The sequence below is a fragment of the Homo sapiens genome, chromosome 2 (genome assembly GCF_000001405.40).
Source record: "Homo sapiens chromosome 2, GRCh38.p14 Primary Assembly".
Classification (NCBI taxonomy): Eukaryota; Metazoa; Chordata; class Mammalia; order Primates; family Hominidae; genus Homo; species Homo sapiens.
The window spans coordinates 103854765-103870554 of NC_000002.12; the positions used below are offsets into that span (position 1 = coordinate 103854765).

Below are 15790 nucleotides of genomic sequence, written 5' to 3' on the forward strand. Positions count from 1 at the left end.
ACTCCTGACCTCAGGTAATCCTCCCACCTCAGCCTCCCAAAGTGCTGGGATTACATTCATGAGCCACCGTGCCCACCAGTACTGGTTGACTTTAAAAAAAATCTTTTAATTAACACATAATAGTTGTACATGTCTATGGAGTACATGGTGTTGTTGCAATACATATAGTGCATATGTGCAATACATATAGTACAATCAACTCAGGGTAATTAGCATATCTATCATCTCCAACATTGATTATTTATTTGTATTGGGAACATTTAATATCTTCCTTCTAACTAGTTGAAACTATATAATATGTTATTATTAACTATAGTCATCCTACAGTGCTATACAACACTACCACTAGTCCTCCCATCTAGCTGTAATTTTTTGTCCTTTAACAAATCTCTCCCAATAATTCATTTCATAGAGATGAATTAAAATACCCAAACTCAACGCTGTATTGCCTTGCATGATACAGGTAATTCTAAACCAAAGTTGACACTGTACACAGGATCATCTCACAATTTTTCACTGCACTATAAATGCTGCTTAGTATGTACAGTTAGAACTCACTAAACATAATGGATAGGTTCTTGGAAACTATGACTTTAAGTGAAATGACATATAAGATAACCAATTTCGCCATAGGCTAGTTGTTATAAATAAGAGTAAAGTTTCTATAGCATATTTCTCTGGTTAAAAAATTTCACCAAACTTCTAAATGAAGACCAGAAAACTCTAACATTAGACATGGAAATAAATGTGAGCTATACATACATTTAAGAAAGACTAATAAAAACAAGTAAGATAATTACTTACCTGCTTATTCCAGTTCAGGGTCTCAGGTGGCCAGAGCCTATCCCAGCAGCTCGGGTGCCAGGCAGGAGCCCACCCTGGACAGGACACCATCCCATCCCATGGCACACGCACATGCGCGCGCACACACACACACACACACACACACACATTCACTCACACTGGGACCAGGTGATATTCTGTTTCACTAGATGGGCACAGCTTTGGGATGTGGCAGGAAACCCACACAGACATGAGGAGAACATGACAACTCCACACAGATAGTGGCCTTAGCTGAGAATCGATATTTTTTCTCATCAACATTATAATAAAGTGATGTTGAATGAAGCAATGTTATTCCAAGACCTGCTATAGCTGCTGAGAAAAGTGGCCATGCAGTCACAGAGCCTCTGTAAATATAAACTTTAGAAGAGGCCTTGTGGCTTTTTATCTCAGAGTGTCACTTGTCTTTATAAGAGATGGTAAAAGACACTTTACTATCTATCCACTTTACCATTGTTTGACACCTCCCTCCCCAATGCGGCATGCAATTGGCCATGGAGGGACATTTCTTCCTGGAGACCTCCCTCAATGCATTCTGCTGGAGCGATCCAAGTAGCAAAGGCCTCAGACCTGCCTCGGACATCGCAATTTCCCTGACAAGTGGATGCAACTCCCAACCCTCACACCTTACAACTTCTCCTGAATTCTCCAGCTTGTACTGAAATTGACATGAATGCCGAACAACTGCAATGGGCAATTATAGTAATTCTGAAACTGGGGAGAGAGGAAAGCAGCTGAATGAAGTAGGTTCTGCCTCTCTGTTGGAAGAACTGTTAAATAAAGAGGGTGGGAATCTAGCAGTCCCTTGAGAGCATCTTAGCAGAGGCAGGCACAGACAAGCCTGGTGAACCCTGTCCTAGACGGGTACTGTCAGCTTGCCTTTTTATGGGCACACACACTGAGGCAGTGCCATTGCGAACTCAGTCACCAGATGTCTCATGAGGCTTTTGTGGGGAGAATTGCTCATCACCCCAACTGGCTACACACCACGGAGGCAACTGCCCTCTGCTAATTGCAAGAAGTGCTGAAACAAGTCTTAGGTTCTGGCCAGGTGCTGGGTGAATGTAATTTCCTTGCAGAGTCTCTAACCCATAATTGGATACTTGCAAACGCTTCTGCTGGTGATGGTGTCCATGCTGCTGCTGCTGAGATTCATGATGAGTTAGGCACAATCTCGGTAGGAACTGGAGCACACAGAACAACTCCACCATCCACAGAGTTCACCGCCATGTTATTTGTTATAACATGGTCCATTTTTCTTCCCCCTGCTGAGTAGAAGCTGTTAGGAAGAGATTAGAAAGCCTATAACCATAATGGAATATAAGGGGTCACAAGGATAAGAGGAAACTAAGACCTAAAGGAAATAAGAGAGAGAAGAAAGTAGAATTGCTTGGGAAAGTTTGGCTGAAATGGGTCCTTAGTTTAAATTTACTTTTGGTTTAAGAAGTAGCGCTCAAGGTTAAAGCACGATGTAGTCTCTACACGTATATCCCATGTGGAGTGAGGACAGGTGTAGAACTGCCAAGACTCCGATTGAAGAAACCACCTGAAATCCCCTGACTGGCAGCCTTGGTGGAGGGAGGTGTCCAGGCATGGCTTGTGTGCTGGTCCACGGACAAGGTGAGCTCGGCATGCGATTTTCTCTGGCAAACCTACCTGTAAACAGGGTGGATTAGATTGGAGATTCCTCTTAATGCCTGAAGAGGCTCACATGCTTCAGAAGCCAGTTGGCTGCCTACACATCTTACTTTTCAGACATAATAATCATTCAGAGAGACAGTATGCAAAGTGAGACTGTCAAAAGTGGGGTGAAATGACATTCATAGGTAATTTGTGATGCTAGTAATCCAAACTATTATTATTAAATTTTTTTTACCTATTTGGGATGTTTTTATATGCTGTACATGAGAAAACAAAACCTTCCCTAACTCAGAGGGAAATGCAACCTCTGCATTTTGATTTACCTCCCTCAAGGTAAACCTCCCTCGATGTATCCTAGCTGCCCTCATGTCTGGATAAGCAACACGAAGTTCCCAGCTTCTAGCACAGGAGAATCTAGGCATGCAGATTAGGTTTAGTGCTATTTGACATTTAAATATCCAATTTGCTGAGATGACACATAGAGACTATAGTTATTTGTGTTACCACTGTGAGTATGTGTCAGTTGTCCTAGAATTTTGCCTGTGGTGGTGAGGAGCAATGGAGAGGAAGAGTGGCAGGGAGCGTAACAATCAAACATACACTTTTAAAGAGTAGAGGTTTGGGCTTTTCCATGACTGCAGTGATTTTTGGTGACGATTATGCTGGCTCAGATGGTCAAATCATATTTTATTAGAGTGACTATTCAACAAGGACAGATCCAAGGAAAGCCCTCATCACTGTTGGCTAAAGCATGGGCTTCTCAGTCTGGCAATCCCATGTATGAATTAGCTACAACAAATGGCACTCTGTGACCCCATTGTAGATGGCAGTAGTGTAAAGTGTTTGCTAATGGCATGTACTTGGACTCCTTGTTTCTGCCCTTTTGTAGAAGCTAAAAGATACTGTGTGTCTGAGGGAGATGATGTTAAGCTTCCCATCTGTGGCCACATTTGTCAAAATAAAGCAAAACCACCTTCCGTCATGGCTGCAAGGGTGCTGTGCCATTTGAGTATAAATCACGTATTAACAGATTGGCCATAATACCTAAGAGAATAAGATGTGCCTGCTTTAAAGGCAAAAGCTTGTATCATGCCAGATGCACTTCATTTACAAAGCACTTCAAGGCTGACCACGTGTGCCCATAACACCTTTGTCACTAGGTGCCAGAGTTAGAAGGTCAGGGAAATGAGCTTGTGTAAGTTTTGTGACAGATGGTTGTCACTCACAGCTGTTTATGCCTTCAAAACTGCTGATAAATAATTGCAAGGCATGTATCTCTGGAGTTGTGAAGAATTCTGTGTCTTGTATACTCCAGTCATATTCTTTATTTTTATTCTCTTTTAGTTTTATTTTTTTGAGGTGACGTCTTGCTCTTTCGCCCAGGCTAGAGTGCAGTGGTATGATCTTGGCTCACTGCAACCTCTGCCTCCCAGGTTCAAGGGATTCTCCTGCCTCAGCGTCCCAAGTAGCTGGGACTACAGGTGTGCACCACCACACCCAGCTAATTTTTGTATTTTTAGTACAGACAGGGTTTCACCATGCTGGCTAGGCTGGTCTCAAACTCCTGACCTCCAGTGATCCACCTGTCTTGGCCTCCCAAAGTGCTGGAATTACAGGTGTGAACCACCGGGCCTGGCCTCCAGTCATATTCTTTAAGGGCCCTTTTGCGTTTAAGCCACACAAACCCTCAGGGGAAAAAATTCATTCTGCACAAACATATATAAAGTGTAACTTAAAATTGGGAAATAATAAATTGGCATCAGGGAAGCTCTCCTGGATCCCTGCTGAAAGGTAAAATCCAGAGTTAAAAATAATTCTCCACTCTCCTACCCCTGTGCGTGCACAAACACACACACACTCACACACACACTCACACAGCTTAGATCCAAAACTTATAGCTGTCTTCCATACTACATTAATGTCTTAATCTATTTGATACAGTTACAAAATGATTATGTGTATACTCTACATAACTACATAAAGATATAATTTATATATTTCCTTTTGATCTCAGAGTTTTCTTCACCTCTTCTCTTGTATCAGTCTCACCATGCTCCCACAATAAACTGCCACAAACAAGATGGCTTAAAAATAACAGAAATGTATTCTCTCACAGTCCTGGAGGTGAGCCATCTGAAATCAAGGTCTCAGCAGGGCCATGCTCCCTCTGAAGGCTCTAGGAGGGATTTCTCCCTGGGCTTTGTGGTCTTCTGGCTCCCGGCTTACCTTCCCTGGTGGGTGTATTACTCCAGTCTCTGCTTCTGCCTTTAGATGGCCTTCTGCTCTAGGTATTCTCTGTGGATCCTGTCCTCTTCTCATAAGGGCACTGGTTATTAGGCCCACCCGAATCCAGCATGACTTCATCTTATCTTAATGAATTGCATCTGCAAAGACCCTATTTCCAAATAAAATTACATTCTGAGGTTTCAGGTAGACCTGAACTTTTTGGAGATAGAATTCAACCCACTACAGGAGTTGCTATAAAGGAGTTACCTAATTTGGGCATTCATCTGATCTATTATTGGTAAGCATGTGGGGAGATAAAAATGATTCCTTGCTTCTATGGTGTTTCAGTTATTGCTGAAATCTTCAAATCAAAAGATTCCAGACGCTCATAAAGAGACATTTGAGGACAGTGGTGCTCTACCTGCTCCTTGGTCATGTGAAATGGTGCCACAAGGTCTGGATTTGGAAAAGGATCGCAATGTTGAAAGATAACTATTTCTCCAAGCTGTTAGTTTCTAGTCCAAGATGTGCCCCTTGGAAACCAGCCACAAGTATGTCTCTGAAGAATTTTCACATTGCCTATTGACTTACACACACACACACACAGTCACACCTCTCAAGCTGTTGGAAGCCAAATTGATCTTTACCTTTCTCGCACTACCCTTTTCCAGCACAGTTGCTTCCAGATTTGAGTTTCTGTATCAGTAACCAAATGAGTGTGACCAAGCTCCTTTACTGAAAGCACACACACAAACAAAAACCACAGATCAGAAACATGAAAATGTACTCAATTTATGTGACTAGTGTGGTTACTTTCACATTAGGTCAAGTTATGATAAGAAAGGAGGATCGGGGTGATATTAAAAAGAAAGCCAAAGAGAGAAAGCATGAGGAGAGAGAGACAAGAGTAAGAGAAGAATGATGGGGAGAAAGTGGCTTAAACTTGATATGAGCTGGGAGAATTTTAGATGAAAAAATAAATTACCACATTTTCTTAAAACACAAGACAATGTCACCAGCTGAGCAGAATTTTGTTTACAACTAATAACTGACATCCACATAGCAGGCACTGAACACCAGGTGCTGTTCTTTCTGAATACCAAACACATTTTCTCTTTCTTTTTTTCTTTCTCTCTAATTTAATCCTCACAACAACCTGTGATCTAATTTTATATCCAGAAACTGAAGTGCAGAACTTAGAACTTGCCCAAGAATTGCAAGCAGGTCTGCTGGCTCCAGATTCTGGGTTCTGTCTCCAATTATAAAGTGCTGGTTGGAAGGTAAACATCTAACATTCAGTATACAACCAGTAGTCATCTATTATACAAGTAGTTTGGAAAAGAGTTTCGTACTCTGCCACCTAATACCATTAAACACACACAGCTGCTTGGTGACCCAACAATTCCACTCCCAGCAATTCCGTACACACGTAGAAGAGGCAACACATACAAGAATGCTCACAGCAGTCAGATTCATAACTGCACATAAGTAGAAACAACCCATATGTTCATCGACAGTCGATTAGATAATCACAGTGTGACTCTCACAGAATAATTCTGGACAACACTGAAAAACTACATTTATATGCATGAGAATGGAGGAGTCTAAGAAATGTTGGATTGAGGGGGCAAAAAGCCAGAGATATTTTATAAAGATTAAACAGGAGCCACAGTTAATAATATGCTTTTAGAGACACATGCACTGGTAAAACTATGGAAGAAAAAAATAAAAATAAAAATAAGTGGTGACCTTGTAGTGGGGAGGGAAGAAGTAGAATTGGGGAGATACAAGATGTGTCACAAACTTTTAACTTTGAGTTAAGGAGTGGGATCTTCGGTATGATGTACTTTCCTTCTTTCTTACCTTCATAAACATTGTGCATGGGGTGTGGTTAATTTCCATTATCTTAAAAAGAAAATGAATAAAAGATAATGGAGTGAACATGGTATGGAAGGGATTATGGAGGTAAGGGGTAGATTACTCAGGCTGAGAAGTAACTAAGATAGAACTTAGTGAATAAATACTTCAGGAATAAATTATGAAGTGGTACATCTACATAATTTTACTGGCTGTTCTAGTTTCAAATTACATGTTCAATTCAGAGCTCCCAAATATTCAGTTTTACATTACTATCTGGTGAGAGTGAAATATTTTCATCCACAAAGGGAAAAAAAATACAAATGCAAATGGAATGAACTAGAAACACATCAAAATTTCAGTTATCCATGGATAGGAATGTGAATATAGCATGTATCAGAAAATGATTTTGGCTACAAGTTTGTCTACAAGGTTAATAAAAATTGCTATTCTCAGTAACAGTTTGTAAAGCTGAAGTTCTTTGTAGAGGATAAGTAAAAGTTGCATGCAGGGTGTTAATGCATCCTGTAGCTTTTATTTAAGACTGTATGAAACAGACAATGGGCCAAACACACCCAGTATGCTTTGAGAATTGACTTTAACATATTTTCTGGCTATTTTAAAGAAAAAACTAAATAAACACTCATCTGTTGCTTTATTTTAGTACCTGATGATACTGAGATAGTCTCAGAACTTCTTACCTCTACATTTTAACCTAATTTTTAACAACTATATAGTAAGATACCTATGCCATAGTTATATGGTGTGAGGTACAAGAGTAGTTCAATAAATATGTGTTGAATAAACGTATTAAACAAATAAGGGGTCTCACAGTGTGGGTAGCTCTATAATACTCTGGGAATTTTGTGCCTGTGCATTTGCAAACTTTTTGTTTCTTCTTCTAAGATTTGCATCCTATTTAGGAACTTCAGTTCACAAACTTACTTTCCTAAACCCTCTAAATACAGTATTCTCTCCTATCCACCTGTTTCTACTTAGTTTTCAAGGCCATAGGGCTGGCAAAGCGTCTCGGGTTAACCAGGAAATGTTGACAAGGAAAAAGGAGGGAAGAAATGTGAACAGAGTTGCTCCTTTTGGATGATTAATGTAATCCATGGAGTTAATATAAAGTAATATATTTTATTTCTTTATTTTAAAGGTAAACAATATTAGTACCCACTCCTCACACAATTTTTTTTTAAAGAATCCGTGTAACTTGTCAAAACATAGTGATGCTATAACCACCTTTGTATCTATATGGGAAAAGAAGCATCCTTTTTCAATTGTTTAAACTTTATTTATGTAAGATGCATATATTTAAAATAAAAACAAAATTTTAATTGACAAGTAACTATTTTAAATATTAATAATATTCAATAATGTCATAGTTTATTATTTTAAAATTATTTTATTTAAATCCTTTTGAAGAATTATCAATATAAGATAGATTTTGTGTCAAAGCACAAGATTTTATTAAGAATGAACAAAGAAGAAAAAAGACTTGCATTTATTGAGCACAAGATATATGCCAGTGGTTCTCAAATGGGTTATTTCATGAATTATTCCAATAGGTCTCTAAAGGATATATTATCCTTATCTCAAATCAGCAACCGGAGATTCAGAAAAGCTAAATAACTTGCCCACGGTCACACAGTTGACGTTGATAGAACCAAGATTCAAATATTCTCCTTCTAATGCATATTATCATATCATATTATTATATTATATTATCATAATATATTATCATATATTATGCATATAATGCATATTATTATAATAATGCAAATATTCTCCTTCTAATACTCTCTTTCTTTGCTTTGTGGCAAAGGCCTGACTTCTGTAACTTAAGTTCTGAAGGAAATCAATATGTTAACATCCTTTCTATCCAAAAAGGCATTCAAGTAAATCTTTTTATTATCAATTTCTTCTCACATTGATAAGTGGAGAGTTAAAGAGAAAGAAATTAAAATACATAATGGTGCTATAGACAACTGAGAAGATAGATGTATGTATTATCTTCACATAGTATTAATGTAACACATATAATCAATTAATATAATTTATAGTTAATAAAGTATAATATGATAAGCATAATCAATTAATGTAGTTTATAGGTAAATGCAAAATAAGGATATAAATGCTTTCAAATTATGATTCTCACACCTTGCTCAATGTCTTATGTCCATACAAGATAGTTAGAAATCCAAGACACAGTCTTGAAAAGGAGAGAGACCAAGTAAAAATGATGATAAATAAAATAAAGGTCTTAAAAATCTCATAATAATATGGCTATACCCAATTAAGCTGTTTGGGAAAATTAACAGAGATATAAATATGGAGAATTTCTCACACCTTGCTCAATGTCTTATATCTATACAAGATAGTTAGAAATCCAAGACACAGTCTTGAAAAGGAGAGAGACCAAGTAAAAATGATGATAAATAAAATAAAGGTCTTAAAAATCTCATAATAATATAGCTATACCCAATTAAGCTGTTCGGGAAAATTAACAGAGATATAAGTATGGAGAAGCATGTTTATGTATCAAGACCAATGTTTGCTTTCATTTGCATAGAATATTGACCCAGAGGTTAGAGGTAGACCAGGAGGCTACAGTACAGTGAGGAAGACTTAAACTAACCAGACCTAGCCAGGACAAACTTAGCCACTATGAGGAAAGAGCTCACTAGGGCCATTAAAAGGAATACTGATTTATATACCTGATTGAAGATTCTAAAGTGTGTTGATATGAAACTGTAGAGTTATGTAATTTGCCTCAATTGCCCTCAGTGTCATGAGTCAAGGAGTAGAATAGGACATGTGTCTGTTGATTCAGGATTGGGCATTTGGAGGAACAGAATGTAAGAGAGTAAAGAATTCTGGCAAGAGTGGGTAAGCTAGCGAGTCATGCACTAGACAACGGACTGAAGGAGCCAGCAGTGTACAACTTTGATGTGATCTGTGGCCTTGCTGATTTAGCATTTCATCTAGATGTGAACTTCACATAGTGCCCAATATGTGTTTGGCACTAAGCAACTGCATGTCACATAAGAACAAAAATAAACAAATTATTAAAAGGAGGAACTATGGGCCTGCATCCAGCTCTTGATGAAAACTTGTTAATACTCTATATGTTGCCAATAAGATCCTAAACTATAAAAATATTTTATGGTAAAATTATCATTAGGATAACATAGTAACTAGGTTCAACTCTGCTCCTAAGTTTCTGAACCTTGTGGAGTTCTGTGTAACTGGCCAGAAATATCTACCAGTACGGGGACCGCAATAGCACTATGGTTATAAAATATATTTGTTAGCATATAAAATTATGAACTTTCACATTTTATCCTTGAGTAGTGCATTATCTGGCTTTTGCCTCTGTATGTCATTGATTCTTTAACCACAATACTTTAAGATTGAATATTAAAATATCTGGTGTTACACTTAAATGACTTCATTGTTTTATTTGGAGTTTGATCCTGGTGTGTTTCCTTAACAATGTTAAAATGATTAATAATTTTCAGTAGGTGACATACCTAATCCATGCCTCTAAAAATAATTATGTTTATCATTGAATGATTTCCTGCTAAATCCCTGGTGTTCTGCTAACTCTTTCACTTAACCAATGTGTAATCCTCACAAGGACCCTACCATATAGGATATTGTCTCCAATTTACAGATATCAAAACTGGGGCTCATTCAGGCAGTAAAAATAACTAGCCTAATGTGCCACAGCAAATAAAGCGTAACACATGTCAAATAGTATCTAAGTCTTTTTCCCTTGCAGAGTCTATTTTCTTAATTCTAAATTAATGCAATGTACAATTGCTTAAAAAATGTGTATTACTATTTTGTTGTTCTGCGTGTTAACACTAGCTTTGAATCTATGTACCTTAAAAAACATCAGATTTGACTTTAAATTTTATTGTTGATTGAGAGTAAAGATTTTACAATCCCGTATTGCACACTAAGATATAAGACTCTGGAGTCTTTTCAGTTTGAACAGGAGAAAAAGCTGATAGCATTCTTCTAAAAGGCTGGAATCTCAGGACCATTTCTTGCTAAACAGTTGTCATTACATTTGGCCTCCTTCCTGATTTTCTGAAAAGATGGGTAGTAAATACTGGCCACTTGGCCATTTTGAAAATGCACTAAAACACATCTATCTAGGAGGTCATTATTCTAATTGCCCTTAGGATAGAATTGCCAGATTTAGCAAATAGATACAGGATGCTCACTTACATTTGAATTTCAGACAAAGAATGGATTTTTTTTAGTACAAGTATATCCCATTTAATACTTGGGACATACTTATGCTTAAAAACGTATTCACTGTTGATCTGATATTCCATTTTAACTGAATGTCCTGTATTTTATCTGAGAAACTTACCCTAGAAGCATGGCTTGACAGAGTCAGAGATCAGCATTGTTCAATTCCATAATTATAGATGAGCAGGGAAAACTGCCCTGGAAAAGCATATTTTCAAGCAGACATGAAATTCTTCCCAATTCTTAGGTGAAATGCTTCTGATTCCACTTGGGCAGACGATCCTGTCTCATAGGCTCATGGCAAACAAATGCTTGATGAATGGTTATTGGCCAAAGGCAGTACAAGAGAGGCTGGGGCGAGGCCAAATGGAAACTTAATGAATCCTTAAATGAAGAGGGGGTTAGGGGAAAGCAATTGGCAAGTAGTTCCTCTCATCCAGGAAGAAATTATGCAACATGAAATGGAAACATCTTTTCTTTAAGCCTCTTATCTTTGGGGTTTACTACAGTATACCCTTATTGTTTTTAAGAAGAGCTACTTGGTTAACATCTTTCTGTTTGGATTTGCTACAGTTTCCTATGGTTACAAGGTTCCCGGGGACCTTTTAAATGAATATATTAAAAGTAAGAGTAGGATTTTCTCAATAGGCTGATAAAAAATTGAATTAGCCCATAGTAATGATGTAGCCTTACGTTGTGTACTTCACAGTGAGTTTACTCACTTCACCTCAGAACAGATTGTTTTTCTTTCAATACCCTCAATCCAAATGTCAAAATGTAAATACAGTATACCTCTAAAGATCCATACATGAACAGGGAATTTTACATATTACTTCTGTCTTTAGAAAAATAGATCTAACTGTAGCACATACTAAAAGAAAATCACTCTGAAAAGGCTGAGTTAGGGAAGAAAGGATGCTTATAACCATAAATGAATATCTGTTTCCCCAAATAAAAAAGAATTAAAATGACAGCAAGAGTAACAAACATTCATTTTTAAAAGAAGGTGAGCTTTATTTGAATTTTACCTGACTGCTTCTTAATAATGCAGACATTTCAATTGTTCCATCTGGATAGTGAAACAAATGTTTCACTGAGGTCAGTGGAGTGAGTGGTATGTAACAGATATTTCGCTCTGCTCATTTGATATTCTGCTGGAATCTGGTGGAGGTAATTATGGGAAAGGCATTTCAAATTTTTTTGATGAAGCTCCTGATAGCATAATGTGGGTATATATTTTTATGAGTAAATGCAATACACTGAAAAAATCGCATTTAAAAAATGGGTAGGGTTTGAAACTGCGAGGCGAGATTATGTAATTTTGCTACCTCACACGTGCTCTGCCCTGTGGCCCATTCTTTCTGCATGTTGCTCTGCCCATGATACACCTATCAGCAGAGTGTGGCTAGTCTTGGGTTCTGTTGCCTGGCACTATTAAGTCCTCAGCATGTTGCCCGAGATGGTGGGAGCTCTGTAAGTGTTTGTTGACTGAATGAATACATGAATTATTAATTAAATCAATTGCATTCTGACTCTGTTTCTTTGCCAATACTGACAGTGTTTAGACTGCATGAGTAACCCTGGTTGTTGGTGAAATGTCCTTCTGCAGTGCCCAAATTTGAATTACAAGTATTTCCAGAGTAATTCATCAATAATGATTTTCTTTAGTTATATACCTCTGATCTCATGACATTGGTATGCTAACACAAGGTAGACAGACAGATAGATAGATAGATAGATAGATAGATAGATAGATAGATAGACAGATTCATCTGCTATAAATACACTACTTGGGTGACAACTATTTTCCTGAAGCTTAGCTTAAATGACTGTTCACTATATTAAATTGAGCATTTAATTATTAAAATGTGTTCATATTTACATTTGGCACCCCAATTATGTCCAAATATAATCTCTCACTCCTGGTCTTACACTATATGTGATATTAGATAAATTTGATTGTTTCCTCACTCTTGAATCACTTTTTTCACTTGCATTCTGAGATCTCACACTTTCCTGGTTTTTCTCCTACATCATTAGTTATTCTTTCTTGTTCTTTTTTTGCCAAATCCTTCCTCTCTTCTCAAAGTCTAAATGTCAAAGTTCTTTGTGACTCAATATTTGGGAATCTTTGGGTCTCTAACTACATTATTACCTAGATCAGAAGTTACAAAACTTTCACAGTTCTTAGTGCCTTTCATTTTTCAGTAATGGTTTTCAGACCACCCTAAGGCCAAAAGAAATGCCTAACTTCTATTTATTAGATAGTTAGGTCAAAATGCCTTACTAAGTATTTACACCCTGTGGTAGGCTGAATTATGGCCCCAAAGATATCCAGATCCGAATCCCCAGATCTGTCACCTTATATGGCAAAAGAGGCTTTACAGACATGAATAATTTAAGGATCTTAACGTAGGGAGATTTTCCTAGACTACCTGGATAAACCACCATATTCACAGTGGTCCTTAGAGGAAGGAGGAAAGAGGGTCAAAGGAGATAGAAGGTGATATGATGATGGAAACTGATAGAGTTTGAAGATACCATGCTGCTGGTTTGGAAGATGGATGGAGGAAGGGTTCATGAGCCAGGAATGCAAGAGATATAGGAAAAGGGAGGAAAATGGGTTCTCCCCTGGAGCCTCTAGAAAGAATGTGGCCCTGCCCACATCTTGATTGCAGCCCAGAGAAATCATGTCAGAGTTTTGACTTCCAGAGCCAAAAGAGAGTAGTTTGATGTTATTTTAAGTCACAAAAGTTGTAGCAATTCATTACTGTACTCATAGGAAATGGATATATGTCCTAATAGCCTCATAGTCATATTATAAATTACACAAATTTGAAAGAAAATATAATAGTATTCATATTTTTCACTAGTGCAATTTATGCACCTGTCGTGCACTACACAATTTCTCATATCCCCCAATCTAATTGGACATGGCCACCCCCGCTTCCTGTTCCACACTGATTTTCATGTAGTAGTTGCATTCTTATCATACTTCACAAAAATATGATATCATTGAAAGGAATGTGGTTCAAACTAATGTTGAAAATGTAAGCTACCTAGACCTCATATTTGGGCACTGACAGATACCAAGTGTTGGCATTTTTCTCTCAAAAATTTTTAACTATCCTGCATTGCTCCTGGCACACATTTTGGTACCAAGATCCTAGGTGATTAAATCTGGTACCATACTTTAAAATATTATCTGCATACTGATTTCCAATCTATTGTTTCTACCAGTAATCACTTCCTTGAAGCCTCAAGTTGTGTATCCAACCACCTATTCATCATCTCAACTTGGATATCTAAAGGACATCTCAAATATGTCCTTGACAGAATTGCTGTCACCTTCAAACTGCACCACTCCCTGCGCTGATCTCCACACCTCACAACCTTACCCCCCGCTCCACTTCCACTGGGGGTTTCTCCTCTCCGTCAATGGCATTCTCATTCTCATTCTGGCCAATTAACTCTGGCTAAAAATTTCAGTCTTCTTCACTATCTCTCTTTCTTTCACTGCCTTCTTGCTTCCTATCAGTAAATCCTGTCAGTGATGACCTATGCATTCCAAGCCTCACCTGAATCATGTCTCACCTGGATCTTTCCCATTGCCTTCCCACTGCTGATTTCCTTCTTATTCTCATGTCCAGAGTTGTCCTCATGTCGATCAGGCCCTGTAATTCTCCTGCTCAAAGCTCAAAGGCCAAGGACTTGGTAAAACTCATAGGATGAACATAAATCCTTTTTCATGGTCTGAAATAGTGATTCTCAACCAGGGGCAATTTTGCTTCCCAGAGGACATTTACCAATGTCTGGAGACTGTTTTGGCTGTCATATGGAGAGGGAATGCTACTATCTCCTTATGGACAGAGGCCAGAAAGACTGCTAAAGACCATACACCTCACAGACAGCCTCCCATAACAAAGAATTATCCAGCCCAAATACCAATTGCTCCGAGGGTGAGAAACCCTGGGTTACACAGGCCATGAGTTCTGGTCCTTGCCTAGAGATCTTACCTGATTTTCCACCACTGCTGCCTTTCATGGAGACTGACTTTCCCATTCCTCCTGCATGTCAAGCACTTTCTTACCTCAGGGGCATTGCCTCTGGTTTTTGTTTTGTTTTGTTTTGTTTTGTTTTGTGACGGAGTCTCGCTCTGTCGCCCAGGCTGGACTGCAGTGACGCGATCTCGGCTCACTGCAAGCTCTGCCTCCCGGGTTCACACCATTCTCCTGCCTCAGCCTCCCGAGTAGCTGGGACTACAGGCGCCCACCACCGCACCCAGCTAATTTTTTGTATTTTTAGTTGAAACGGGGTTTCACCGTGTTAGCCGGGATGGTCTCCACCTCCTGACCTCGTGATCCGTCCGCCTTGGCCTCCCAAAGCGGTGGGATTACAGGTGTGAGCCACTGAGCCCGGCCCGCCTCTGGTTTTTTTTTCCCCCTTGTCTAGAATGCTGTCACCCCAGATACGCACATTTTATTTTGTTTGGGCCACTCAAATGTCCCCTCTTCAGCAAGACCATTCCTGATCTTCCTATCTAAAAAAACTGAGAAGGTAGAGCCCCGTTCAGAAGCCTGTTCACATGAGGAAGTCGGGAGATTCCAGAGGAAACTCAGCCCAAAGGAAAAGAGATGTGAGCCAGCATGCATGGCCTCCTGGCCAAGGACTCTGAGAAAATTAGATTTATTCTGAGTGTAGCAGGGCTCTGTACTAGTCTGCTTTGGCTACCATAACAAAATACCTTAGAGTGGGGGACTTAAAACAAAAGACATCTGTTTCTCACAATTCTCAAGCTCAAAGTGCTCGCAGATTCGATCCCTGGTAAGGCCACTCTTCTTGTCTTGCAGACAGCTACATGCTCACTGGTCCTCACATGGCAGAGAGAGAGCAAGCTCTGATTTCTCTTCCTCTTCTGTTAAGGATATTAATCCCATCAAGGAGGTCTCACCCT

The 15790-nt window shown here is 38.7% G+C and overlaps 1 long non-coding RNA gene across 8 annotated transcripts; it reads right to left on the reverse strand.

Moving 5' to 3' along the window:
- Positions 1–835: 835 nt before the first annotated feature.
- Positions 836–14944, reverse strand: LOC107985927 (uncharacterized). 8 transcript variants are annotated; one of them, XR_007088672.1, is made up of 8 exons: positions 14853–14901; positions 14431–14546; positions 11865–11997; positions 10958–11220; positions 5358–5445; positions 4711–4879; positions 2390–2499; positions 836–2122 (listed from the first exon to the last, which is right to left on the reverse strand). It is a non-coding gene; the product is annotated as an uncharacterized LOC107985927 (long non-coding RNA). The 8 variants fall into 8 exon arrangements; XR_001739620.1 differs by having other exon boundaries at positions 14431–14589; positions 14853–14890; XR_001739617.1 differs by having other exon boundaries at positions 2276–2499; positions 14431–14589; positions 14853–14890.
- Positions 14945–15790: the final 846 nt, after the last annotated feature.